Source organism: Homo sapiens, chromosome 16 (genome assembly GCF_000001405.40).
Source record: "Homo sapiens chromosome 16, GRCh38.p14 Primary Assembly".
NCBI lineage: Eukaryota > Metazoa > Chordata > Mammalia > Primates > Hominidae > Homo > Homo sapiens.
In genome coordinates, this window is record NC_000016.10 from 67,714,844 (window position 1) to 67,742,711 (window position 27,868).

At 51.2% G+C, this 27,868-nt stretch overlaps 2 protein-coding genes across 13 annotated transcripts in view, besides 4 other annotated features; both read right to left on the reverse strand.

The window, feature by feature from the left end:
* GFOD2 (Gfo/Idh/MocA-like oxidoreductase domain containing 2) overlaps window positions 1-4,473 on the reverse strand; it is a 44,781-nt gene extending 40,308 nt beyond the window's left edge. For all 3 annotated transcript variants that reach the window (NR_027398.2, NM_030819.4, NM_001243650.2), the window contains exon 1: window positions 4,320-4,473. The gene's annotated coding sequence lies outside the window, so the exon portion shown is untranslated. The remainder of the gene's footprint in view (window positions 1-4,319) is intronic.
* Window positions 3,791-3,870: an enhancer, noted in NCBI's record as "active region_10981". NCBI's record gives its function as "activates an Ori minimal core promoter by ATAC-STARR-seq in GM12878 lymphoblastoid cells {active_cell/tissue: GM12878}" and the evidence as "EXISTENCE:reporter gene assay evidence [ECO:0000049][PMID:35858748]".
* Window positions 4,231-4,280: a silencer, noted in NCBI's record as "silent region_7623". NCBI's record gives its function as "represses an Ori minimal core promoter by ATAC-STARR-seq in GM12878 lymphoblastoid cells {active_cell/tissue: GM12878}" and the evidence as "EXISTENCE:reporter gene assay evidence [ECO:0000049][PMID:35858748]".
* Window positions 4,341-4,390: a silencer, noted in NCBI's record as "silent region_7624". NCBI's record gives its function as "represses an Ori minimal core promoter by ATAC-STARR-seq in GM12878 lymphoblastoid cells {active_cell/tissue: GM12878}" and the evidence as "EXISTENCE:reporter gene assay evidence [ECO:0000049][PMID:35858748]".
* Window positions 8,227-27,868, reverse strand: part of RANBP10 (RAN binding protein 10) — an 83,491-nt gene continuing 63,849 nt past the window's right edge. For 6 of the 10 annotated variants that reach the window (NM_001320238.2, NM_001320239.2, NM_001410883.1 and 3 more), the window contains 10 exons: window positions 23,170-23,192; window positions 20,015-20,199; window positions 16,629-16,741; window positions 15,095-15,203; window positions 14,837-14,985; window positions 14,437-14,641; window positions 13,547-13,758; window positions 12,908-13,053; window positions 12,484-12,595; window positions 8,227-11,715 (listed from right to left, as the gene is read on the reverse strand). In NM_001320238.2, the coding sequence (NP_001307167.1) occupies window positions 11,585-11,715; window positions 12,484-12,595; window positions 12,908-13,053; window positions 13,547-13,758; window positions 14,437-14,641; window positions 14,837-14,985; window positions 15,095-15,203; window positions 16,629-16,741; window positions 20,015-20,199; window positions 23,170-23,192 (1,385 nt within the window). In that variant the 3' untranslated portion in view covers window positions 8,227-11,584. Of the gene's footprint in view, window positions 11,716-12,483; window positions 12,596-12,907; window positions 13,054-13,546; window positions 13,759-14,436; window positions 14,642-14,836; window positions 14,986-15,094; window positions 15,204-16,628; window positions 16,742-19,397; window positions 19,957-20,014; window positions 20,200-23,169; window positions 23,193-27,868 lie in introns of those variants that run through there. The other 4 variants (NM_020850.3, NM_001320240.2, XM_006721238.5 and 1 more) reach the window with 3 other exon arrangements.
* Window positions 25,063-25,357: an enhancer, noted in NCBI's record as "tiled region #12647; HepG2 Activating non-DNase unmatched - State 15:Elon". NCBI's record gives its function as "activates a minimal TATA promoter and a strong SV40 promoter by Sharpr-MPRA in HepG2 cells {active_cell/tissue: HepG2}" and the evidence as "EXISTENCE:reporter gene assay evidence [ECO:0000049][PMID:27701403]".

The window sequence follows — 27,868 nt, forward strand, 5'->3', positions numbered from 1 at the left end:
GTTCCCACGAATTTCAGGACTATCCAGGGTCCCAAAGAGTATATACATTTTATCACTGGCTACCTTGAGAAATGACAGTACCTTGGACAAAAACACTACTTGCAATTCCTTTCTAAGAGCAGGAGCTAGCAAACAAGTGCTTAAGGACAGGGTTCAAGGGTACTAAGTAACATGGAAATATTCGATTCTTCCTTCTTAATGTTTAATCCATATTTTCTTTCTTTTTTTTTTTGAGACGTACTTTCGCTCTTGTTGCCCAGGCTAGAGTGCAATGGCACGATCTTGGCTTACTGCAACCTCTGCCTCCCGAGTTCAAGCAATTCTCCCGCCTCAGCCTCCCTAGTAGCTAGGATTACAGGGACCCGCCATCACACCCAGCTAATTTTTTGTATTTTTAGTACAGACGGGGTTTCACTATGTCGGCCAGGCTGGTCTCCAACTCCTGACCTCAGGCGATCCACCTGCCTCAGCCTCCCAGAGTGCTGGGATTACAGGCATGAGCCACCGCGCCTGGCTCTAATCCATATTTTCTAAGTGTTTATTCACATCACCATGAGAGAAAATTTTTTTTTGTCTTTGAAGACAAGGTACTTCAGTGAGCTCATTCCCAACCCAATGTCTAATTTATAAGGAGGTGTTAGAGTGTAGGGAATTCTTCCTGCTTTCATGTTTTTCTCAGTATCTCCTACCATTCTAACTTTCATGAACCCAAGCTTTTCAAGTGTCTTTCATTCTCACTTTTTAAAACACCTGCCATTTAAATTTTCAAGTAATAAGGACTTTTAGACTCCAAATTTCAGTTTGCTTTTAAGTTTGCTAATATAAATCTACTACTTTTGAATGCAAGAAAGATAATGTTCCATTACTATACTGTATATAAGTTCTCAAAAATAGCAAAATCTCCAATTCCATTCTTTCCTAGATGTACTCTAATTCCAATTGTGGATTTGTTCTAGAATTGGACCCCCTGTTATAGAGACCCCCATCTCTACAAAAAAAAAAAAAACTTGTTTTATTAGCTGTCTATGGTGGCATGCACCTGTGGTCCCAGCTACTCAGGAGGCTGAGGTGGGAGGATCACTTGAGCCCAGGAGTCAGAGGCTGCAGTGAGCTGTGATCACGCCACTGTACTCCAGGCTTGGTGACAGAGCAAGACCCTGTCTCAAAAATGAATAAACATTTAAAAATAAATATGCATGAGTGACTTTTCAGGCATCAGAAAGGCACTTTTCCTATTTCTAAGTTAGTGGTCTCTCTGATCCTGTGTTTTCTGAACACCGACCTCTGCATTTCAACTTCTAACATCAGATGACATTGCATCCCCATTCCATTTCTCCTCTTATGGGAAAACTAGAAAATCAGTTCAGTGAAAGTAGCTTCTATTAGCATTGCTGGTTTATCTGGTAGGGTTTCCTCATGGTTGGCCTGTCAAACACTGTTGATTACTTTATTACAGGCCAGATATGATAACTGCCCTCAGCTGCTCCAGAAAATGGCATAGAAGTTAAGTAATTATTTGTCAAAGGTTTCACTGTCATAGCAACCAGGACTTTTGAGAGTCCTCTGTAAGTCTACCTTTCTCTGAAAACAAGTGTTTTTCTGATTGGAGTTCAGAAAACTCACACAAATCCACAGGTCACACCACAGCCGTATTTAAGCAGTACCCTCTCCAAAAGCTCATTCAAAGTATTTGTGCCCACGTTCAAAACACCCTCCCACAGTCCATCCAGTTCCACAGGTGGCAACTGCTCCCTTCCATTTTACCTTGACTTGATTTTGGCCTACTTGTCTTACCTTCCTCTGGGTCAACGTGAAAGTAATGAAGGTTTCTGCACAGAACACAATGATTTTCATGAAGCCTTTCTGACAGAATTTGGTTAACAGTACTGATTTTCCCCAGAGGTTACATTTGCTTTTGATAATGCCCCATTATAACTCCTGAGGTATTTATACAAAATAACCCCACAGGTGCAAGAAAAGTTGGTAAAAAGCACAGTCACAATACCCATAGTTATGGTATGATGCTGAATTATGAAGCCAAGACAAAGTTTTCTTCTTCTTTTTTTGTTTTTTGAAACAGAGTTTAGCTCTTGTCCAGGCTGGAGTGCAATGGCGCGATCTCGACTCACTGCAAATTTTGCCTCCCAGGTTCAAGCGATTCTCCTGCCTCAGCCTCCCAAGTAGCTGGGATTACAGGCGTGCACCACCATGCCCCGATAATTTTGTATTTTTAGTAGAGACGGGGTTTCATTATGTTGGTGAGGCTGGTCTCAAACTCCTGACCTCAGGTGATCCACCCACCTTGGTCTCTCAAAGTGCTAGGATTACAGGCATGAGCTACTGCGCCCGGCCCAAAGCTTTCTTCTTTAAACTGATTTCACCTGTTAACATTATTATACTTCCAATGTATCTTCTTATAAGGGCAAGGGGAAAAACCTGCTGCAAAGTCAAATGTAAATAGAAAATTAGTTTTTATCAAGCTAGGGACAAACTGACTTTGATGATTAGAATCAGGGACCATCTTTTAAAAATCACATAGTTCTAATTTTTAAGTTTTGGGTCAGAGGAGGCTTTCTAAAAAATTGCTAGTTCTACTACCAATGTGTTCTAGTATTACTATAGAAATCAGATAGCAATTGCCCTAGCAAATAAAAATAATAATGAGGGCTGGGTGTGGTGGCTCACACCTGTTATCCCAGCACTTTGGGAGGCCAAGGCAGGCAGATCATCTGAGGTCAGGAGTTCAAGACCAGCCTGGCCAACATGGTGAAACCCCTTCTCTACTAAACATACAAAAATTAGCTGGGCGTGGTGGTACATGCCTGTAGTCCCAGCTACTCAGGAGGTTGAGGCCAGAGAATCGCTTGAACCTGGGAGGCGGAGATTGCAGTGAGCCGAGATCGCACCACTGCACTCCAGTCTGGGTGACAGAGTGAGACTCCGTCTCGATAGATAGATAGATAGATAGATAGAGAATTAGACCCAGACCAATGATTATTCCATGGCAAAGTGGGAAAACCAGGTGGTAAGAGATAACCTCTCACAACAGAATCTTTATCTGTGAAATAAGGATTCGACCAACAGAACCGTCTGTTGAAAATTTCCTCTCTTGGTCCAGGCAGGTTCTCTAAACTCCCAATCCCAAAGCAGTTAATTTTTTCACGTTTCCTGTAAAATGGATGGCCTTAAAACTCTTTTGTTCTCTAGTGTAGCTTTCCAGAAGGAAATAAGTTTCCTTATCAAGAATGAATCTAGCTTCCCCGACTCAAAAACAACCATCTTCTCTATATTGCTCCATATCACAATAAATTTAAGTGCCTTCCTTTTCTAAATTAAATGCTGTTCCCTTCAACTTAAGGGCCACACACTAAGGGCTATTCCTTTAGAGGCTTTTGGGCCCCACAGATCACAAAGGTGGTGCCCTGCCCTAGTTCTTTCTGGACATTTAAAAGGACATCCACTTTCTTGCCCTCAGGATAACATTATGGGAACAATGAACATAAATAAGACAGTTAAATAAGCTTCCCTGATGCCTATCCAATACAGCTTTCAACTCTTCTATCCTGCCTTGTTCTTTAGATCGTGCTGTAGTCTGGAGGGTAAACTCTTCACACAACCATTCCCAAGCCCTCATGTCCCTGTCCACTCTTCCTCCCTCACCTTTTAAGTGTGATAGGGCCTTGATGGGAAGACCTCACTTCACCTTTTGTCTCAAGTCCATCTGCTTCCTTCCAGAGCTACAAATACAAAGGTAGGCCAGGGCCATTGAGACGTGGCCATAGGGCACATGGGAGCTGGCAGAGCCACTCGCACCTTCTGGGGTGTCCCTTCTTCCACCTGTCAACTGAACACCCGTTTCTTAAAGATTTATCCCCAAAAGTCCCATCTCATTCTGAAAGGGGACGAACCAGCTACCCCACGAGCCCTTTGTCTGAGCTTCTACACCTCACACATCCTCATCCACAAAGCGTCCATCCTCACACAGTCAGGTGGTCCGCTCGGCACAGGGCGGGGGAGACTAGGTTTTTGCATCTGGTAAAAGGATGGGTTATGTCTCAGGTTCTTCCAGGATCCCAAATCCTATAATTCTACCACCAAGCCTGCGGGTCCTATTTCTGCGGTGGAAAGGGCGAATCCCAAGGCGACCCTCCACTCCACGCGCCTGCAGGCAGTTGGAACAAGCCCCCTCCAACCCCGGCTCTGCGGGTCCACGCCTCCAACCTCCGGCGCCGGGCCGCGGAGAAGGCCCTGTCGGCGCCCGCTCCCGGCCGCGCCATGCCCTCTTTCGCCCTCACCCGCCACCGGTGGCCGCCTCTCACCTGGCACGCTGGCATCGCCCACTCCGCGCTGCACTGGAAACCATGGGTCCGACGGGGTCTCGGGGGCCACCCATCCGCCTTAAGGAAGGCTGGCGGGGATGCGCGGGCCCGGGAGTCCAGGGCGCCGCCACCGGGAACGCGCCGCCTGGTTTCTAAGGAACTGGGGGCTCTGGAAAGGGAGGGGCGGGACGGCAGGAGGACTGCGCATGCTCCATAACGGGGATGGGCCTGCGCTGGGAGGGGCCGTAGCCGGGAGCTGCGCATGCTCGCTTTTTGGGGGCGGAGCTTAAGCAGCCTGGCTAGGAGGCTCAGGTTATTCATTTCCGGCGGCGGAGGCGGCAGTTTCCTAAGCTTGGCTTCTCTCCGGTCCGCTGACCGGCGTCAGGGACCAGGTTTTGGTAGCTGTGGGTAGCCTCAGTTGTCCTGGAATGAAAGACGGTTTCGTGTTGGACAAGGACATATCTGCAGAAGGCCAGTTCTCTCGAACTCGTCGGACTTCCTGGCTCCCTGACCCCCAGTGACTCGTTTTTCCGTTTTCTCAGGTGCCTGTCTGGGCTCCTCTTCCTCTGGATGTTTTTTGATTGTTCCTTAAATATCAGTGCTCTTCAAGACTGTAACCTCAGTCCCCTTGGCCTCTTTACTGAAGCCTATGCCCCACCAAATAGCAAACTATCCGCTAGAGTAAGGAAGCCGTTAGACCTTAGAATAAAACTGCCTGTGTAGGAAATGTGATTGGGGTTTGTATCTGCATGGGGAGCCCCCGTCCCTGCTTGTCTGACCCTCCTGCTGAGTATCAAGATCCCCACTCAGCTGGCATTAGGATGATCTCCCAGCCATCATTCCAGAGCAGCCTGTGGTGACAGAATATGTCAGCTGACCTAAGCGTGAGGCAGTTCCTACTGAGATATGCTAACTAGCAGCAGAGCTATCCCTGCTTTGAGCGGAGACAGGACTCCTACCACCTCTGTGAGGAGCATGGAAGGCTTCCAAAGTGATGAGAAGTTGTAACCCCTAAACCCCCCCTCTTCTGATGGGATTTTATCCTTTCTCTCCTGGATCCTCTAGAGCCAGGCAGAAGGAAGGCAGAGTCAAAATGTGCCTGTTTGATCTGTTTCTTAGTCATTGTTCGGAGTTCCACTCTTCTTGAGTAGGATTTCTCAACAGTGGCACTATTGACATTTTGGACCTGATAATTCTTTGTTGGGCAGGGGTGGGGGGAGCTGTCTGCATTGTAGGATGTTTGGCAGCATCCCTGGCTCTACCCAGTAGATGCCAGTAGCACCCCAAGCCCAGTTGTGACTACCAAAAATATCTCCAGACATTGCCAAGTGTCTCCCTGGGAGCAAAATCATTCCCAGTTGAGAACCACTAGTCTAGGGGGAAATGAGCCTACTCTGGCTTTACTTATATAGAACCAGGACTTTATGCTTAATCTAAAACCCATATTTTCCCCTTTATGCTACCTCTTCCCTAAGAGCATTCTATAGAGTAATAGTCCTGTAAGATTCTGCTGAGTGACACAGTCTGTAGTAACTTAAGTTTGGAAAGTGCAGGGTTAAGCAACACATTTTAACACAGGATTGAGCTTTTAATTAGCTGGTGGCGATCACTGTGAACATCCATAAGACAGTTTTCCTAATTTACTGGACCACCTCCCAATTCCAGTGACTTTTTTACTGGCAAACCTCCCCTAATTTACTGGCAAACCTCCCAATTCCAGTGACTTTTAGCCACTGCCTGCCCCCTTCTGTTCTGTGTTATTTTGTGGTACTATTATCCATCCCATCACCCCCAACCAAAGTCTGCATTTGCCTTGTCTCTTGCTTCTCCTATTTCCCTCACATTCAGTTATTCATCTTGTACCTCCAATTCTCTCCTAAATCTTTCTCAAACCTGCCCTCTTTGCAGCCTCCTACCTGGGTTCTTTTGCTCCAATTTGTCTCCAGTACCACCTTCAGGTGGACACCAGCATGATCTACCGTATCCCTCCTCTGCATAAAACCCTGGTGCCTCGGGGACAGGGCAGGCAGGAGTGGGCCAGTCACACCACTGGGCATCCTCATGGAGGAAGGATGCTCATGTGTACTGTGTGTATCCCTGTGTGCCAAACACTGCTGTATATCTGCCATAATCCTCTACCTCCACGGGGCAGAAGGATTTACCATGTTTTAAGGATGGGGAAACAGTCTCGGAGAAAGAGGTTAACTTTCCATGTTAACACAGTAAACGGTGCGAGGATTTTGAAACAAGCTCTTGCTCCTCAGGCAAGAGACAGGAAGCTAATTTCAATACCCGTCAGGCTGGGTGCCGTGGCTCACGCCTGTAATCCTAGTACTTTGGGAGGCCAAGGCAGGAGGATTGCTTGAGACCAGGAGTTCGAGACCAGCCTGGCCAACATGGTGAAACTTCTCTATAAAATATACAAAACTTAGCCAGGCATGGTGACACATACCTGTAGTTTTAGCAACTTGGGAGGCTGAGGTGGGAGGATCACTTGAGCCTGGGAGGTTGAGGTAGCAGTGAGCCATAATCATGCTACTGCACTCCAGCCTGGGAGAGAGAGCAAGACTTTGTCTCAAAAAAAAAAAAAAAAAAAAAAAACCCAAAAACAAACTCTCAAAAGAGGTACCCCCAGAAAACTTTCTGACTGTGCAGTATTTGAGGCGAGCATATTTGGAATTTTATTTTTTATTTTTTTAGGCAGGGCCTTGCTCTGTCATCCAGGCTGGAGTGCAGTGGCGCAATCATGGCTCACTGCAACCTCAACCACCCAGGCTCAAGCAATCCTCCAGCCTCAGCCTCCTGAGAAGCTGGAACCACAGGCAGACACCAACATGTCCAGCTAATTTTTTCTATTTTTTGTAGAGGCAGGGTCTATGTTGCCCAGATTGGCCTCGAATTCCTGGGGTCAAGCGATCCTCTTGCCTTGGCCTCCCAAAGTGCTGGGATTACAGGCGTGAGCCAATGCACCTGGCCCTGGAATGTTTTTGTTGTTGTTGTTGTTGTTTTTGAGATGGAGTTTCACTCGTCACCCAGGTTGGAGTGCAATGGTGTGATCTTGGCTCACTGAAATCTCTGCCTCCCAGGTTCAAGCGATTCTCCTGCCTCAGCCTCCCTAGTAGCTGGGATTACAGGCGCCCGCCACCACGCCTGGCTAATTTTTGTACTTTTAGTAGAGACGGGGTTTCACCATGTTGGCTAGGCTGGTCTCAAACTCCTGACCTCAGGTGATCTGCCTGCCTTGGCCTCCCAAAGTGCTGGGATTACAGGGTGAGCCACTGCACCTGGCTCTGAAATGTATTCTTAATACCTTATTTTTGTGGGGAAAAGTTCCTGTGGCCCACCTTTATTTAGTTGAATTTTTTTTTTTTTTTTTTTTGAGACAGGGTCTCACTCTGTCACCCAGACCGGAGTGCAGTGGTATGATCTCAACTCACTGCAGCCTTGACCTCCTGGGCTCGAGTGATCCTCCCACCTCAGCCTCCTGAATAGCTGGGACCACAGGAATGCGCCCCCATGCCCAGCTAATTTTTGTATTTTTTGTAGAGATGGGGTTTTGCCATGTTGCCCAGGCTGTTCTCGAACTCCTGAGCTCAAGGGATCCACCTGCCTCAGCCTCCCAACGTGCTGAGATTATAGGCGTGAGCCACTGTGCCCAGGCTCTTTAGTTGAATTTGCTACTTTTTCCTTGTATAAGAAGAAAGCCGTTTCAAGAGAGAACTGAGGTTTAAGTACCTGTCCTCTTTGGGGTCTTACAAATACACAGTTTCAAAGGTCCTTGAAGAAGGCACCTGAGGGCCTGGGCACTTGAGAGGCTGGGAAGGGCCCAAATCCTTTAGGACAGGATGTGTCACAGAAGGGGTGCCAACCTCAGTAAGACTCAAAACAGAGACCAGACACACATGACTGCTCATGGATGTGTATTTTAATAAAAATAATTCTGTCAAAATACAACAGAGTTTTTTTTTTGTCTCTCAAGTACAATTTTAATAAGATGTTTTGTGTTAGAGTTCTCTCTCCATCCTCCCACACCCACAAGTTTCATGCTAATGCCAAGTATCAACTCTTGAGGACAAAGGCAAAACCAGTGTGCACAATGTGGAGGATGTCTGTTGCAGCTGTAGTTACTAATGCAGGAAAACCCAATGCAAAGAGGAAAATGCCTGAGGCAGCCAGAGGCCACAATCTGGCCACAGGTCTGGGTGCATGAGACTGGCAGTCTAGTAGGGCTCCGCTGCCTGGCTGCCACATGGGTGCATACCTGAGTTGTGAGCAACCAAAGGAACTTTCAGCTCTGACAATTCTCTGCCTCATCTTCTTTGTGCTTGCTTAAGGAGTGGGAAGGCGCTAGGTGGCCAGGCAGTCCCCACTTCTGTCTCGTGGTGTCCATTTTGATGGCCTGCACCCAGCCACAGACCCATGAGGATGGGGATGGGGGTTCTGGCTTGCTATGAGTGCCAGTTTTTGCTCTGGAAGGAGTGACCATTTGGTGCCGCAAGGGGAAAGTGAGTAGGGAAGGCTGCTCCCCAGGGCCGGACAAACCAAGAAAGCCAGGTCTTCCTCCTGCCTCCATGGGTCAGGTCCAGCCCTTCACCAGGGCTCCCCCAGGTGCCTTTCCCACTCTAGGCTCCTGGAAGCAGGCTGGTAGGACTGGATGTGCATAAGGGGCACCTCTGGCTGGCAGGCAGGCAGGCCTGGACTCTCAGCAAGAGAGTGGGCTCAAGCAGCTTGGTTTTGGCCCTCTCCACAGCTTGTGGGGCAAAGGCTTATGTCCCAAAGGTGAGCTGCCCAACTGGGACAGAGAGCCCCTCTGGAGAGGAACAGAGTAAACAACTTGGACTCAGCTGAAACAGTGAGATAAGGCACAGAAAATGGGGAGGTGGCCATGGGTACCAAGTGCGAGCCAGGCAGACACCCAACCCCATGCAGCACACAGCTGTCCCGAGCCCTCCTGGGCCCTCTCAGCCACTCCACAACCTAAGCTCAGGCACCCGTCCTCATCCCTGACACACCCCTGAAGGTAGCAGCTTCTCAGATACTGCTGGAGGGCACATCAGCCTGACCCCTCATGGGGTTTATCTGCCATTCGGTTTCAGGACTAAATAGTGTTGCCCAACCCACAGGGATAAGGGATAGTCCCGGCTCTGCTACTAATTTGCTATGTGACTTTAGCCAAGTCACTTAATCTCCTGGGCCTGTTTCCTTATTTGTAGCAAGAGAGGAATGGGGGAGATGTTCACTGAACCCCATTCCAGCTGCAAAAGCCTGTGGTTTTAATCCAATCCTGCTAGGCTATGATCATTTAAACAGCCTGATGTCTCCAACTTCTGGGTTTGGGAGCTAGGTAGCCCCAGGCTGTCACAAGAGATGAATTTCCTTTACAGACAGGACGCCTCCTAACAGGCCATGGTCTATGGGTCTGCCAGCCCCAAGGACCAAGAAAAAGCAGCAGCTATAGGATCATTTCCCAAGGCAGAATTCTGACAGCACAGGGCCCAGGGCCCTGGCCCCATCACCAGCAGTTGGTCCAATTCAAACATTTTTCTTGTTGCCCAGCTGTGGGCCCAGTGAGGCCTGGTGAGCAATGGGTATCTCAGGCCACACCAACCATTCCCATGTCCACCAATATGGAGCAGGAGCTTGCAAAGCCCAGATTCAGGCAGGGACTGAAAGTTCAACTTCCGGCCTTGCCATGGCTGACCCTACTCTTTGCATGGGCGGCTTGTGCACTCCCCTCACAATGTGAAGCACATATGGAAATTCCAGCCGTCCTGGTGCTCCTCTGTGTAGACTTCCTCCCTTTCCTCCTCCAGGGCAGCCAGTCCTCTCCACAGGTGGGCCACCCCAAGTCCTGGCAACCATCTCAGTCTTTCCTTTCCTGATTCCCCAATGGTAGCGGGACCACTTTTACTCTGCCAGCTGTAAGGATCTATCTGAAACAGCTGGTGGGACATGTGTAAAGCTGATAGAGTCCCATTCTCTGGCCAGCAAATACTCCCAATAGTCTTTCCTAAGAGTGGCTAGGGCCCAGCTGCAGGGAGCTGTCTGGCACAGTGGCAGTGAAGTCTGGCCTAGGGGACCAAGGATTCCATCCACTCCCTGGAGTAGCAGCCCAAGAACCTGCCTCCACAAGGTACTGGTTTCTCAACAGAAAGCATCCATTCTCTCAGAGCTGTGCAGAGATGGTGAAGATCTAGGCAGGAAGAAAGCAGCCCCTGTACTCAAGGGCCTCTGTCCTGGGAATGGAGTCTTCTTTCCAGCAGCCTGACACACAGAAGCTCTCAGGACGAAGGCAGGTAGTTTCCAGGCAATCAATTTAGAGTAAATGTATTATTTGGCCATCTTAACAACAAGGGAAGATAGGGTATTGAAAAGGGAGGAAAGGGGAGCAAGGCAGGCAGTGGGAGGTGGGGTAGAGTGGTAGATAGTGTGCTGGCCAAGGACCCTCTACCTCTGCTGTGTGGCCCTGGGCCAAGTTATCACTTCTCTGGACCCTTGGCCCTGTAGTTCTCTGCTCTGTCCAGCTCTCAGGGGCCTAGGGATCTACAGTTCTTGGGATGCTATAAACCAATGTAACCATGCCCACTAAGTGGCCCACCAAACCCTATTTGGGTTTCCTAGGCTGCAGCTCGGCCTGTGACTCAAAAAAGGGGGAGCAAAAAATAAATCACTTGGCTGAGGTGACAGAGATTCTTCTTTTTTAATGAGTTGGACTCAAAGAAAACATGGTGCCTGGACAGCCTCACCCAAGAGGTGCTGGACCACTAATGCTACGATAAATACTGTCTTTTTTTTTAATATATATATTTTTATATATATATATATAATCTCATTTGTTTTTTACTTATGAAAATAATAAGCTATCACCAACTTGGATAGGCTTCATCACTAAATTAGCAGAAACCAGCTCAGCACAAACTCTCCAGAGATAAATACTGGTGGCTCAGTCAGGAGAAAAAAATTTAAAAACCCCAACCCCTCCTCAAAACAAAACCCCCCTTTCAAAATAGAAGGCGCTACATGAGAGTAACCAGCCAATACTGTGTTACAGGCCGCTGCACGTGAAGGGGAGAGAGAGAGAGACTGAGCGGGGTGGTGGGCAGAGAAAGGAAGGAAGGAAGGAAAGGGAGAGGGGGAAAGGCCAGGCAGGAGGAGTGGACTCTGTCTATGGTTTCCCAGTCCCTGCACCAGTTGCCTATGGAGGGCAGGGCAGCTCCAGCCCTGGGGCCAGTGGAGGGCCAGCCAGAGCCAGCCAGCACAGTCAGCTAGTGCAAGTAGTCATCAACTCTGGCAAAGGAGCAAGAACCCAGGCCTGCTCGGGCCATGAGCCGGAGACACTCAGATGCCTGGCCCAGGGCGAGCATCAGAGGGGGCTGCTTTGGCAGGTTCTGGGACTCTGTGGAGGAAAGACAAGGCCTGGTCACTGGCCTGCCCAGGGCTTGGGCCCAGGTCAAAGTTCCCTTGGGGGTGGAAGGAGGGGGCAGTGGACAGATTCTCTTGGAACAGAGTGTTCAGTACCTCTGTGTAAGTGTGTCCCAGCCACCAGGCCATGGCCCTGAAGTCATGCCAGGAACCTGAGGACCTTAGCCCCATGTAGAGCGCTGGGCTGGCCTGGGCCTACTGCCATGGCCTAGGACCCATCATGAACTCAGCTGGGCAGACAGAGGTCAAGGTTTAGGTTCAACCATGGGAGCCCAGGAGTCCTATGAGTCACCAGAGAGGGCCTGTACAGAGCTTGCTGCCCCAGTGTGGATAAACATCAGCTCTTTCTGGGGCCAATTGGGGTGGGGGTTGGGAACCACCCAGGTAGCTATGGGCTAGCTTCTGTTTTTGTTAGATCCACTCACCTAGGCCAGGCATGGTGGCTCACACCTGTAATCCCAGCACTTTGGGAGGCTAAGGCGGGCAGATCACCTGAGGCCAGGAGTTCGAGACCAACCTGGCCAACATGGCAAAACCCGTCTCTACTAAAAATACAACAACTAGCCAGGCGTGGTGGCACGCACCTTAGTCCCAGCTACTCAGGAGGCTGAGGCACGAAAATTGCTTAAACCCAGGAGGCAGAGGTGGAGATTGCTGTGAGCCAAGATTGTGCCACTGCACTCCAGCTTGGGCTACAGAGCAGACTCTGTCTCTAATAATAATAATAAATAGATTCACTCACCTAAAATGGCGCTGTTGAGGGCAGCACACACAGGTTCCCTCTGGATGGGGTCAAGCTGCTGGCCAACTGGGCAGCTCCAGGGGTCTGAGTATGCCAGCAGGCTGAAGGCATCCTACAGGACAGGGCATTCTTGAGAGGACTGTGGCACACACCATAGCTCACCCTGCTACCCGTGGCTCCAGAGGGAGACAGGGCCCTGCATGATGCCCAGCCTGGAATGTGGGGTGTAGGGTCGGGCAGGGCTGTACTCTCCCCAGAGCCTAGGTGTGGAGGGCACATGTCCAGTGGGCCCAGATGCCCCACTTCCCTCTGCAGACCTGGCTGGAGCCCACTCTTTCCTGCTGCCCCCTGGACTCTCCCAGAGCCACCCTGCCCCCAACACCAAATGGGGCCTGCTCTGCATGAGGCCCGGCTCATCCTGTACCTGCAGCATCTCTGTGTGGGCCAAATTCTTGCCGTACTCCCGGCCCAACTGCTCACTCAATGCCTGCAACTCGCGGCCAAACAGAATGATCCTTTCTGTGGCAGCCTGGTTGCCCCCGCAGAGCTGCCGCCGAGGATGCCTGTCATCTGCATCCAGAACCCAGTGGAGAACGTGTTAGGAGGGGTGAAGAGGGAAGGGCAGGACTAGGGTGGGGCAGGAAGGACCCCGGGTGGGCTGCAGCTTCTGCCAGAGGCAGGCAGGGCTGGGAGGAACAGGTGAGGCAGCTACAGTCAAGGCGTTCTTCTCTTCATTCACCTGGCGCACAGTCTAGGATTTAGGGAGGACTTGGAAGTTGTCCCTCTTCCCAGCCTGCACAGACGCAGGGTGCTCATTAGGGTGCCCATGCTCTCGAACACCCTCCAGCCTCAAACATAGGTGGTCTTGGCACAGGCCAGGGCCTTCGTACATTTGGAGCCACCTCAAGGACCCATTCACAATCGGCTAAGGAGGCTGTGGACCAGGTCTGGCTGAAGCTTCTCAAGATGCCAAAGCCTGCCTACCCCAGCCCCTCCCAGGGGAAGAGGGCACCCAGACTGCACACTGCCCTCAAAGAATAGCACACCGGGCCGTGGCTCTCACCCATGCTGGACTCATCCGTCTGCAGGTCCTCATGCTTGTAGGCACCATTAACAATGCGTGTGGACATGCTTCCTAGCACACCGTTGGGGTAGTGCTCTGCCTCCATCTCCATCTCACTGTCGCTGTGGGGAGGGGTTGAGGTGGGAGTTGGCCCAGGGGGTGTGGTTGGAGCAGCCTGGTTGGGCCTCCTTTCAAGCTGTAGCCATGGGTTGCTGTGGGTGAACCGAGGACCCCCAGGAACATGAAAGGACAGCTCAGGCTTCCAAGTCTTCAGCACTTGGCCCCTACTGTGACACCAGCTATCCTCAGAGGCCTGTCACCTGATTCCCACCCTTGCCCCAGTGCTGCCTCTGTGATTCTCCCCTCCCTGGCCCTCCTCTGAGTTCACACACCTCTTCTACATATCCCCCAACCTAATGACTGGGCCCCATGGCCCCCATGGGCAGCTCTGTGGCCTTGGTTGGAAGCCAAACTCAGGTCAGCCTTGAGGTGTACCTGGGGATGCTGAGAGCCACCTAGAGCTCTAGCCTGCGGCTTAGCTTCCCCTGCCTGCCCAACCTGGCTGTCTACAAGCCAGAGCCAGGGAAAGCTCCCTCATGATGGACCCTGAGGGTTCTCACAGGCCCGGCCTCTTTGGAGGAGACCACATCCTCAGCCTGGCATCATTGGAGCCTCTGGAGAAAGCCAAGGCCAAAGAAAGTGCAGCTAAATCGTGGGGAGGGCCAGAAGCCAGAGCTGATGTCTGGCCCGGTGGGCCAAAAATTAGGACTCCAGGCACAGACCTGAGATGGAGGCTGGGGGTGAAGGGCAGGGCGCTCAAAGGACAGACTGCAATGGGCCCAGCTGGCATAAGGCAGAAGGCAGAGGAGGAAGCAGAGCAAGGCAGGCACCTGGTCTCCTGGTTACTGGTACTGCTGTGGTGCTGGGACTTGGTGGAGTCTGTTGAGTTGGACTCGGAGTAATTGACGGAGGATGGGGAAGAGGACGAGGAGGAGGAGGAGGACGAGGATGAGGAGCTGGGTGCAGGGTATTTACTGTGGTTCTGTTTGCTCTTGGTGGACGCGACGCCATTGCTACAGCTGGGACTGTCTGCTCCTAGAAGCCAGGGTGACAGTCAGAAGAGGAGGGGCAGCTTCCCATGAAATGAAGCCCCAAGAACAACCACAGTGGTCCCATTTCCCTTCTCCCAAATCCAGCAGTGAGCCCTGAGCCCAGCCCAGGAAAGGGTATGTGGAGTGGCCTCTCTCCTCCACACCAGTTCTTCCCAGAGCCCTCTGGAGAGTGGCTGACCTGTGTTGTGCATGTGGGAACTACTGGGGCCATGTCGGGGACTGAGGCTGGGGGAGCCAGGGTAGCTGTCCTGGGACTTGGGGCTTCGGGAGCTCAAACTTCGGACCTCACTGTCCGTCCCATTCACCATCTCCACAAACTGCCGGCACCTGTGGAGGGAGCGGAGCAATAATGCTCTGGTTGTGGTCCAGGTTGACGTTCCCACCACCAGCTGAGAGGGGCTGGACTCTGGGGGAGCTGGGGGTGCCCAAGACTTACTTGAGCATGAAGAGGAGGTTGGGGTTGTGCTCCAGCAGCCCTGGGTAGAAGCGCTGGGTGGTCTCGATGGCCTCGCCCACACGGCCCTCCAGCACCAGCTTCTGGATCTCTGCAGGGTGCAAGAACACAGCAGTGAGCGAGGGCTACAGGCCTCTCCCACAGCCACACACCTGGGATGCTGCCAGCCTCAGGGTAGGGTCCGGCTCAGAGTGCCTCGCCAGCTTGAAATGCTCACAGGAGAGGAGGCTGGAGAAAGAACCTGACTGCCCAGCCCAACAGATCCTGGTTTCTGCCAAGTGTCAGAGAGTCCTCAAGAATATGGGGAAGATGGAGGGGAGACTCTCAGCCCAAAGGCAGGAGGGTAAATGTGGAGGTCTGCTCCTGCGGGGCACATGGTGCCAGGGACCTGGGGGCAGGGTAGGGCCCCAGCTGGGGCAACATGATCTGGGGATGGGCACCCAGGCAGCTTGGCGGCCTGAGTGGCTCCTCTTCAGACAGACTCCTCTCCTTCCAGGCCTCACAGGGGAATGGCAATGGAATCACACTGGTTTCTGACCAGGGCTCTGGCTGGTGGTCTTCAGGGGCTGCAGCATGCCCCCTGCTGGGAGAGGAGGCCATCCTCCTCATGCTGGCACCTCTGATGTTGACACCTCTCACGCCATCAGCATCTTGCTGCTGCCTTTTCGCTCTTGCCGTGGGGCCTGGTGCATCTCGCTGGGAGCAACTTCAGAGTCTGAGGCTCTCATTCATAGATCCCAAGTCTGGGATCCCTTTCCGTCTGTCTGGCTGAGCACAGCTTCTCTGGGAGACAGACACGTGCACATACAGAAGAGACAGCAGGCTTGGAGAGGGGTAGGCAGGCACTCACAGACACGCATATCCACACCCACTTGCCCTCATTCTCCTTTTCTCCTTCTAGCTCCTCACTGGGCTCCTTTTCCTCTTTTCCAACACCCCTCCTTCCGTGAAAGAGCCTCCAGACACACAGCATCCAGGCCAGCATCAACACTGGGAGAGCTCTGGCCAAGGGAGGACTTTAGGTTGTCTGCAAAGGGCAGGACCAGTGGTGGGGAGCAGAGGGTAGTGCCCCCACAGCAGCCATTGAGCACTGGCTTTGCCCTATCTGACCACTTCAGTCCCCTCTCTGGCTAGGAATAAGCAGAACTACTAAGGCAGGCAAACAGCCTTCCTGGAAGACCATGAACAGGAGGTTGAGAGGAATCCAGGATTCAGGGGGAAGGAAACAAGCAGGGAGGAAATGGAGGAATGGAACCAGCCATGCCAGGGCCTGGCCTGCGCCCAGCCTTCAGAATGTGCATTAGGGAGGCTGCCCTGAGACGTCTCCATCCTGCCAACTGTCCATCTGGGCAGTGCCATCTTGAAGGTGGGACAGGAACATGGCCTCGAGCTGCAAGCTGGTCATGAGGACCAGAGCTGAATGGACTCCTGACAGGTTAACCAGGGTTGACATGAGCCAGAGAGCAGAGTTAGGGACAGGTGAGGAAGGGAAAGGGGAAAGTAGAATAAACCTTACTTTGTCTGTTCTTTATGGACGCCTGTTCTTCCTGAATCGGGGTTTCAGTCATTCGAGCAAAAGCCGTGGCTGTGGCACAATACCCATGATGCACGAGGTAAGATGAAACCATGCTAGAAGAAAGGAAGAGCTTCAGGTGACACTCAAGAACTGCACTTCTCACTGACTACCCAATGGACTCAGGACAGATTACCTCCCCCAGAGGTCTCCCTAAACACGTCCTGGAGGTGTAACCTCCACAGAATGAGAATAAAGGGGCTGAAACAAAATGAAAACTTCCCCCATGGTGCCCCACGGTCATGAAGTCAGGCTTCGGAGGGGCTGGTCACCACATCTGTGCCCACAGTTCAGAGGAGTGGCTGCAGTTTATCTGAGACATGCTGCCCACAAGTAAGCGAGTATGATAACAGAAGTACACACACAGGCACACTCCTCACAGGTGGCTGCCTCTTTGGGAAATGCAGCAAGCCTAAGAGGCCAATAGTCTCACTGATAGCTTCCCGAAACTGCAGCTAGCCAGGTAATCTGGCAGATTTCCAGACAGGATGCATGCCACATGCACACCTTCTACAGACACAGGAGCCCCTCTGCAGGCTGTGCCATGTACCTGAGAGAAGCATTTCAGCCCTCCAGGTGAACCTGCCCTCAGCAGTTCCAGCTCTAGTGAGTGAGTGATGGGAAGCTAACTCACAACCCAGAGTTACACCATGATACACCACAAATCAGGGGCCCAAGAAGCCAAGCAATCAGGCTGATTTTGCCAGGCAGAGATAGGCAGCAGCAGGGCCAATGGGAACACAGTCATTGGGAAATGGTCTGGAGAAGTCTGACTCCCTGTAGCCATTTAACCCCAGCAGAAGCTGGCTGAACAGTGGCACATGTGTGTACACATATAAAGCAGAGGCTGAACCCTCAAATCTGATGTGTACAGGAGTGAATACCTTGGTGTGTACATGTGTCTGATGTCATTACTGTAACTCTAAACACAAATGTCTGAAGGGTTGTCAGGTGGAAGGCACAGAAGTTTGGGTGTGTGTTCCCTCAAGCTTTAAGGGGTAAATGAGATAATACACATAAAGTACCTGGCAGGAAGAAGTCCATAAATAAGACTTCTTATTATGAAATGATATATTACATAATATTATAGTATAAATAATAATTATCAGCTGGGCGTGATGGCTCATGACTGTCATCCCAGAACTTTGGGAGGACAAGGCGGGAGGATCACTTGAGGCCAGGAGTTCAAGACCAGCCTGGCCAACATTGCAAGATCTCATCTCTACTTTAAAAATATGGCCAGGCGTGGTGGCTCATGCCTGTAATCCCAGCACTTTGGGAGGCTGAGGCGGGCGGATCACAAGGTCAGGAGATCAAGACCATCCTGGCTAATGCGGTGGAATGCCATCTCTACTAAAAAAATACAAAAAAAAATTACGCCCGGGCGTAGTGGCGGGCACCTGTAGTCCCAGCTACTCAGGAGGCTGAGGCAGGAGAATGGCTTGAACCCAGGAGGCGGAGCTTGCAGTGAGCCGAGATTGCGCCACTGCACTACAGCCTGGGCGACAAAGCGAGACTCCATCTCAAAAAAAAAAAAAAAAAAAAAAAATTATTGGCTGCGTGTGGTGGCTCATGCCTGTAATCTCAACACTTTGGGAGGCCGAGGCAGGAAAATCACTTGAGCCCAGAAGTTTGAGACCAACCTGGGCAACATGGCGAAACCCTGTCCCCACAAAAAATACAAAAAATTAGCCAGGTGTGGTGGTGCATGCCTACAGTCCCAGCTACTCAGGAGACTGAGGTAGAAGAATTGCTTGAGCTCAGGAGGTCCATGCTGCAGTGAGCCATGACTGTGTCACTGCACTCCGCCTGGGCAATAGAGTAAACTCCTGACTCAGAAAAAAGTAAAGTAAGTATAATTATTATTATTACACCATATTATTATTATAAACACAAGGGTAAATATGAAAAAGTCTTTATCTACAAGAGGGTTACCTACACAAGTAAAAGAGAAGGAATTACCTGACCTTCCACTAGAGGAAGCCAGCCAAAAGGCTTGTGACAAATTTGTCTCTGTGATAACATAGCCATTATCAATATTCATTAAATGAAGTTATGTAAAACCACAGTACACAAATTATATGCAGGTCTTGGCAAATGCTACATATGAACACATACAAGCACATGGATACACACATGTAAACAAAAACACCTATGTGCTATGCTGGACATGGTAGCACATGCCTGTGATGCCAGCTACTCAGGAGGCTGAGGTGGGAGGATCACTTGAGCCCAGGAGTCCAACCTGGGCAACAAAGTGCGACCCCATCTCAGTATTTTTTTAAAAACCCCAAAACAAAAACACATCCATGTGCTGAGCCTAGGCCCTGAAAACTGAGAGTATCAGTTCCTCCCCTACACAGACTTGGCATCTTCACCCCTCTTCTTGGCAATCCCACCAAGCCTGCTCTGGGAGTGGCGCTGTCCTGGCCATCCAAGGAAGTCCTTGTCATCTGCTCTGGGGGGCTGTGAACAAGAGGCAGCAATGCTGTTTTTCCTGGGGAAGGTCTGGCCACCTAGCCCCTGCCTCAGCCCATCCTTGGGGCCTGCCTCAAGGGACAAAGGCTGCACAAAGAACTCAGTGTGTACCCCAACCCCACCCCAGGAATCCTAGCACCCTGGTGCCTTTGCAGGGCAATGACCACAGGCAGTGGAAGCCCAGCCCTTCCCCATGCCCATCTGCCCATCCTTGAGAGCCAAGCTAACACCCACCTCCTGGCAGAGTGGATACTGGTCACTGCCTCACTCAGGCTTGCAGATGGCAAGTGGAAGAGAAACCCAAAGCTGGCCTCCCTTGGGAGTTCAGCGACACTGGCTTCCAGGACAGTCTGGGAATTAATCAGCCAAGGAGCTAGCTCAGCTGGTCCTAGGGAGAACTCCCTTCCCTCCACCACCGCTATAGACGAATGAGACTCAGTTGGATGCTGGGCCCTGTGAGGTGGCCTCAGGCCAGAGTCACAGCACCATGGATACTCCCTATGGTAGAAAAAGGGTCCACAGAGGAAGAGACCACAGGGCATCCTCTGCAAAATCCTCTGCAAAATGACCTGGGGAAGGAAAACAGCCCTGCTGGTGATCTTATATACAGGAGCCTCCAATATGGCTGAGAGGCAAAGGTTTAATTAGGAGCAGCCCGGAGAACTCGGTGGGAGCTGTCCATCCGACGACAGAGAAGCAGGAGAGCTGCAGGCTGAATGGCCCTGGGAATGCTTCCCAGAAAGGATCCACCCGCTGGAATTTGTAAGAACAGCTTGTAGCCCTACAGGGGCCTAGAGTGAAGTGGGCTGGGGTGGGGTGGGAGTGGGTAAGGGCAGGAGCAGGGCACTCACTTCTGCAGCACTGCCTGCCACTCGCCAAGCCGGGCACTGATGGGGAAGCAGTGGACCGTGCCCTGGACCTTGGCACGCCACTCCCGCATGTAGTCCTCAATGTCAAACAGGAAGGGCTGCTGCCCAAAGTTGGCGTCCACAATCTCCCCAGGTGTCTGCAGGCCTACGGTGGGGTAGAGGTTGGCCTGAGGAGGAGAATGAAATGTCAGTCAGGCCCTGAGGGCAGTGGGGTTCTAAGGCCTCACCTCACCTCCATGGCTGCTGCTGGCCCATGCTTGGGCTGGGAGAGTTGCAGCAAGGCTGGAGGAGGCAGGGCGGAGCCACCTCTGTCCACCTCCCTAGCAGAGACATTATGCCCCAAAGCTTGAGGGGAGAAAGCAAAAGAAAAGCAAGCAAGGCACATCATGGAGAGTGTCCTGCCCTGTATCAGAGGCCATTGTGTCCTCAAGGCCCAAGAGCCCTTTCTGGAACTCAGCCAAAGCATACAGAAATGGGCTGGGCTCCACGACCCTTCAGACGTGCCCATGAAGGTCTGCTGCAATAGTGGGTCATGGCTCCTCTTGGAAAGATCCAGGGCCAAGGATCTCTCTGTCTCAAAAAAAATAAGACACATGAGGCTGGGCACAGTGGCTCATGCCTGTAATCCCAGCACTTTGGGAGGCCAATTTAGGAGGATCGCTTGAGCCCAGGTTTTCAAGACCAGTCTGGGCAACAAAGTGAGACCCTGTCTCTACAAAAAATAAAAAGATAAAAATTAGCCAGGTGTGGTGGTATGCACCTGTGGTCCCAGCTACTCGGGAGGCTGAGGTGGGAAGATGGCTTGAGTCCAGGAAATTGAGGCTGCAGTAAGCTGTGATTCTGCCACTGCAACCCAGCCTTGGTGACAAGAGTGAGTCCCTGTCTCAGAAAGAAAAAAAAAAAACAAACCAAAAGATAGATACATGGGGGGTAGGCAGAGATGGGATGACGCAGGAAAGGAGGGAGGAGGGGAACATGGCAAAAGGGAACCGGTGGTCTAGACCCCTGGTGCTGGCAAAGGGTGAAGAGAAGCTACCCTTCCTGTTAGAGGCTCGCTAAGAGGATCTTCTGGCCAGTAGGGTGTGAGGCTCCCTGCTTTCCACCTAGCCTCTACCATGACTGGCTTTTGTTCGGTCCCTCCCTCACTTGGTGGTTCCTGTGGCTCCCCACTGCAACTGTCCAGAGCCTCGCTAGCCTCCTCCCCACTGTCACTGCAGATGGTCTTCCCAGGGCCCTCAGTCCACCCTTCACCTCCGTGCTCAGGCCATGTTCCTTCCTGAGTATCATGCACTTTTTTTTTTTTGAGACGGAGTTTCGCTCTTGTTGCCCAGGCTGGAGTGCAATGGCGCGATTTCAGCTCACCGCAACTTCTACCTCCTGGGTTCAAGCAATTCTCTTGCCTCAGCCTCCTGAGTAGCTGGGATTACAGGCATGCGCCACCACGCCCGGCTAATTTTGTATTTTTAGCAGAGATGGGGTTTCTCCATGTTGGTCAGGCTGGTCTTGAACTCCCAACCTCAGGTGATCTGCCCACCTCAGCCTCCCAAAGTGCTAGGATCACAAGCGTGAGCCAGCGCGCCTGGCCAACCATGCATTTTTGTACCTGCACAAGGTATGGGACCTTTTCCTGTATGCTGGCTTCAGCCCACCATGGGCTCTGCACACAGAGGACCTCTCGCTTCCTTTCTTTCCCCTACCATCCTCCACCACAGGCAAGGCCCGCCTCCTCCAGCAAGCCTTCCTGACCGTCACTGCCTACCATGTCTTTCCCCCATACCTTCTTGCATGTGGCTGCATACTGGCCATGCTCATGCCTGGTCATTTCATGTCACGTCCCCATAACTAGACCCTTCCCTAGCCAGGGTCAGCATTCTCCACCTGATTCTGTTCTCTTTGCCTAGGACCACAGCCCCTCTCTGGGGCTTCCAGGTAAGAGGGAAGGATTCTGAGCCATGGACTGGAGGTTTTAACAGGACCCTGGGTGCTATGGTCTGGGCTTCAGAGGCCCATAAGATCACAAAGGCATTTCCTGGGGCATCACTGGGGTGTTTGGGATCCCAAAGCAGCCACCAGAGTCAGCAAACCTTCCTTCCTTCCAGAACCTAACCAGAACACACAGAGCCAGGCCAGGCTCCCAGCATCCTGGGTGGAGGCCCTGCATGTGATTAGGCCTGTGATGACTCATAATAGAGACTGGAGTACAGGTGCGGGATGGCTGGAGGTGAGGATATGCCCTGAACTAAGCAAGCAGAAAACTCCATCCTTTTCTGTTTTTTTTTTTTTTTGAACTAAGCAAGCAGAAAACTCCATCCTTTTCTTTTTTTTTTTTTTTTTTTTTTTTTTGAGACGGAGGCTCGCTCTGTCGCCCAGGCTGAAGTGCAGTGGTGCGATCTCAGCTCACTGCAAACTCTGCCTCCCGGGTTCAGGCCATTCTCCTGCCTCAGCCTCCCGAGGAGCTGGGACTACAGGCGCCTGCAACCAGGCCCGGCTAACTTTTTTTGTATTTTTAGTAGAGACAGGGTTTCACCCTGTTAGCCAGGACGATCTTGATCTCCTGACCTCGTGATTTGCCCACCTCGGCCTCCCAAAGTGCTGGGATTACAGGTGTGAGCCACCGCACCCGGCCAGAAAACTCCATCCTTTTCTAAGAAGAGAAGACCCCACAAAGCTCACCTCTCTGGCTTGGGGGTGCCCTAGATAGTAGCAGATGAGTTCCCCTAGGGCACTAACTTTCCTCAGGGATCTCTGATGGGTATGTACAAGGACTAGGTTCCCTCACAGTTCAGGAACAATTCCCTACACTCTGCACCCCAGCTGACACACAGCTGGTTTAGACCAGTTGAGCCATGGAGCTATCTTCATTCCACCACCCTACCCGCCCCAGCCCCACAGCTGCCTTTGGAAGTGCCACAAATTACTGTCACCTGCTAAGAGTCGTAGGAAGACCAGACCTTACTGCTGGAGAGAGAGGAAGGCCAGCAAGTGCCCCTCCTGGTACCCTCAAGCTGACAGCATGGCACACATCCCTGGTTGGGGAAAGAACCAGACTCCACACCCTGCACTTGCAGGTACCACCGTGCCCCATCCCAGTCAGCCCCCAGAAACCCAGGAGGGGAAGACTCAATAGTAGTACTCACCGGGAGGTCTGTGAAGGCTATACCTGTGGGGGGAAAGGAACAGTCATCAGGGCCAGCCCCTGGGGCTACTCTGCCTCTGCACCCCATGGTGGAGCCAGTGCTAGGGCCGGGTAGTTGTTTTTTTTGGTTTGTTGTTGTTGTTTTGAGACAGAGTCTCCCTCCGTAGCCCAGGCTGGAGTGCAGTGGTACGATCTTGGCTCACTGCAACCTCTGCCTCCTGGTTCAAGCAATTCTCTGGCCTCAGCCTCCCCAGTAGCTGAGATTACAGGTGCCCACCACCACGCCTGGCTAATTTTTGTATTTTTAGTAGAGACAGGGTTTCACCATGTTGGCCAGGCTGGTCTTGAACCCCTGACCTCAAGTGATCTGCCCGCCTCAGCCTCCCAAAGTGCTAGGATTACAGGCATGAGCTACTGTGTCCAGCTGGGAAGGTTTTTTTGTTTTTGTTTTTGTTTTTTGAGATGCAGTCTCACTCTGTCGCCCAGGCTGGAGTGCAGTGGTGCGATCTCGGCTCACTGCAAGCTCTGCCTCCCCGGTTCACGCCATTCTCCTACCTCAGCCTCCCGAGTAGCTGGGAATACAGGCGCCCACCACCACGCCAGGCCAATTTTTTCTATTTTTAGTAGAGACGGGGTTTCACCATGTTAGCCAGGATGGTCTCGATCTCCTGACCTTGTGGTCTGCCCACCTCAGCTTCCCAAAGTGCTGGGATTACAGGCGTGAGCCACTGAGCCCGGCCCCGGGCTAGGTAGTTTTAATTAGACCATGGCCTTCTCTTCACTGGCGGCCTGGCCAGAAGTGAAATCAGATGCTTAGGCAGGTGCATAGCTCCTCCACCCGCAAAGAAAGCCTGCTAAGGGGAACTAAATCCAAAAGATCTATCCCCTGCGGCCCTTCAGACCTGATACTTCTCTTGATTTAACACATATTTATGGAAACTTATTGTGCATGCCAGATCCTTTTTTGGAGAAGGGCCTCACTCTGTCGCCCAGGCTGGAGTGCAGTAGCACAATCTTGGCTCACTTCAACCTCTGCTTCCCGAGTTCAAGCAATTCTCCTGCCTCAGCCTCCCGAGTAGCTGGGACTACAGGCACATACCACCATGCCCGGCTAATATATATTTTTGTATTTTTGGTAGAGACAGGGTTTCACCATGTTGGCCAGGCTGGTCTTGAACTCCTGACCTCAAGTGATCTGCCCACCTCGGCCTCCCAAAGTGCTGGGATTACAGGTGTGAGCTACCGCACCTCGCCCCTTTTCCATCCATTACTTCATCTGATCCTCACACCAACTCTGGGAAGCAGGCTTATTGCATTTTACAAAGGAGAAAAATAAGCCTCAGAGGTTCGACAATTTGCCAGTAGTCATAAAGCTAGCAAAGGTGGTGGGGCTGGATTTGTTCCTAGTCCAATGCTTCAATGTCATCCCCAAGCTGACAGAGAAGTGGAAACAGGGAGGGTGGCAGCTGCCTATCTCCAGTCCATACGCAGTCAGAGTCCTCAGAGGTTCCAAGCTGGCAAAGTTCAGGTTAACAATGGCCTGTGTGGAAGGATCTCTTGAGAACAGAAGTTCAAGACCAGCATGGGCAACATAGCGAGGCTCCGTCTCTACAAAATATATAAAATTAGCTGTGGTCCCAGCGACTTGGGAGGCTGAGGCAGGAGGACCACTTGAGCCCTGCAGGTTGAGGCTGCAGTGAGCTAGTATGATTGTGCCACTGGGTTCCAGCTTGGGTGCCAGAGCAAGACCCTGTCCCAAAAAAACAAAAACAAAAAACAGCCTGTCAAAAACCCTCCTGCCAAGAGAAGTGGCTGCATTTCTAGGGACCTCAGCTCTGAATTGGAAGTGAGGGTAGAGGGGAGTGGGACCACAACTATATAAGCAGGCTACCAGAGCACCCATGTTCTTCAAACTGAGAAATGACAAATGACTCAGGACCAGTGGAGGCTCTCCAAGGACTCAAAGCCCTCTCATTTTTTAGATAAAGTCTTTTTTTTTTTTGAGACGGAGTCTAGTTCTGTCGCCCAGGCTGGAGTGCAGTGGCGTGATCTCGGCTCACTGCAAGCTCCGCCTCCCAGGTTCACACTTTTTTTTTTTTTTTTTTCCCTGAGACGGAGTCTTGCTCTGTCCCCTAGGCTGGAATGCAGTGGTGTGATCTCAGCTCACTGCAAGCTCCGCCTCCCGGGTTCACGCCATTCTCCCGCCTCAGCCTCCCAAGTAGCTGGGACTACAAGTGCCCGCCATCATGCCCAGCTAATTTTTTTTTGTATTTTTAGTGGAGACGGGGTTTCACCGTGTTAGCCAGATGGTCTCGATCTCCTGACCTCATGATCTGCCTGTCTCAGCCTCCCAAAGTGCTGGGATTACAGTCGTGAGCCATCATGCCCGGCAGATAAAGTCTTATATCTCCCAGAAGCTCCTGAGCTTTTGGCCTTTGAGGTTTTCAAACTGCTGATTCCTTAGAGATCTCCAGTCTGCTATCCAACCCCTGCCCAGAAAAGAAACTGAAGCCCTGCAAAATAGAACAGGGTCTATTCTATTTTGGGTCTGACAACAGGTCTCCCAGAAACCTGGCCGGAATCATGCCAGCCAGCACATACCACATGCTTCCTCTATGCTGGGCACTGGACTGAGTGTCTTATAAGGCACTATTCAATCCTCAGAACAACCTTGGAAGATGTATACTACCTCTGACACTAGTTCACATATGAAAAAACCAAGATGCAGAGAGATGGTTTATATTCTTTGTTCGGCTATTTTGTTTGCTTCTCACTGAGGGACGCTCATAAGCCGCATGGTCTGCCTGTCTGAAGCCACTTTTGGGCCCCACATGCACAGTCGGCATGACTCTGGCATGCTGGCAGGACTGAATCTGGAAATCTCTCTGTACCCAGGAGAAGACCCCAATGTCCACCCTCCAGGCCTGCCCCGGAGCTGCCCTCATGGATCTCAGCATGGCCAGGATATTGCTTACTCCAGGGCTCATGGAGGAGTCCCCAAGAAGCCTGGAAAAAGGGAGTCCAAGCTCCGTAAATTATATATAGTGTGACCTTTGGCAAGTAACCCAACCTCTCTGAGCTCATCTGAAAAAAAGAGATAATATCGATATCTCGACTTCAAGGAAAAAGGGAGAAAATGAGACATTCTGTGAAAGCTACTTCATGAACCCTAAGGTCTAGGTATAAGTCAGCTGTGGTAATGCCACAGGGTGAGGCAACTGCCACACTTTTGGTCAGGGGATGACCTACCCAGGCTTGCCCAACTCTGCCTCACAATGGCACCCAGGAAGGATAAGGCCTTGAGGTGCTTCCAGGAGAATGAGGAAAGACGCTACTCCACCCACTACTGCACTGGACAAGGGCAACACTGCTCCTCCAGCCTGCAACATCATTTTGATGGCAAGATCTGAGTTGGCCCACGGGAAGAAGGTTCAGGCAAAGATCCAGGATGCAAACGGGATAGCTGAACTTGCTGATAAGGAGTACCCAGAGCCAAACAGACACAGGTCAGGGACCACTGAGGCTGAGAACATAAAGACCTTGTGGGAAAGCACAGAGTTGTGTGGAAATGACTGTGAGCACATGGACCACTTGCAAATGAGACATCAGTCAGTATCTCCGTTCACTCATTCCTTCATCCTTCTACCAAGTATTTGTTGTCACAAGACTAGAGAAACAGTTGCAAACCTGGCCCTCAGATTCCAGCAAGAGAGATGGCACATGACTAAGAATTATGCAGACAACTGACCAATGGCACATAGTGCAAGGGCTGTTGACAGAGGAAAGGAGCAGGGAGGCCAGAGGCAGAAGACATCATTCCGCTGCTGTAAAGTGGGGAAGGGATCGATTCTGAAGCACATTATTGATAAGATGGCTTGGGAAAAGGAAACAGAGACAGTAGAAGATTCACCATGCATTCTGTCACTCCAACTTCACTGCTTTTCCGTTAAATTTTGTAATCTAAAAATGCAGGGGACAGGCCATATCCCGTTTTCAGTAAGGTCTCAATAATATCCATGTGGAAAAAATGGAAAAATATGAGCTTCAGGAACTAAGTGATTCTTTTTTTTTTTTTTTAATATAGGGACGGGGTCTCGCCACTTGCCCAGGCTCATCTCGAACTCCTGGGCTCAAGCAATCTGCCCACCTCGGCCTCCCAAAGTGCTGGGAATACAGGCGTGAGCCACCGCGCTCGGCCAACTTAGTGATTCTTAAATGGCTGATGTCTTCCAGGACAAGCTCAACTATACACTGAAGGGCTCAAATCTTAACCTTCTCTTCTTCCTATATTTTTTAACAGTAACTTCATGAAAACATAAACACAAACAACAAATTTTAGATTAATACAACACTGAAAAGGGTATCAAATATTTGAGATACAACAAGTAAGAACACAGAAGGTGTTGACAGGCTGGAAAAAAAGTCAAAATACTACCAGATGAAATTTAATTACAAGATGTGTGAGGTCTTGGATGGGGGTCTATAAAAAGCATCCACTAAGGAGATGGATGTCTAAAAACAGCCTAAGGGCTTGAGGTGACATTAAAGTGGCCATCTGCTCTCTATGGGACCTTGGGACTTGACTGACAAAGAGTTCATGGCCCTTTGGTGGTCCCGGTGTACATGAAAGGCCTGAAGGAGAGAGATGCAGGTGCAGAGGGAACAGTAGAGTCTGCCCCCATCCGTGAGCAAAATGTGGG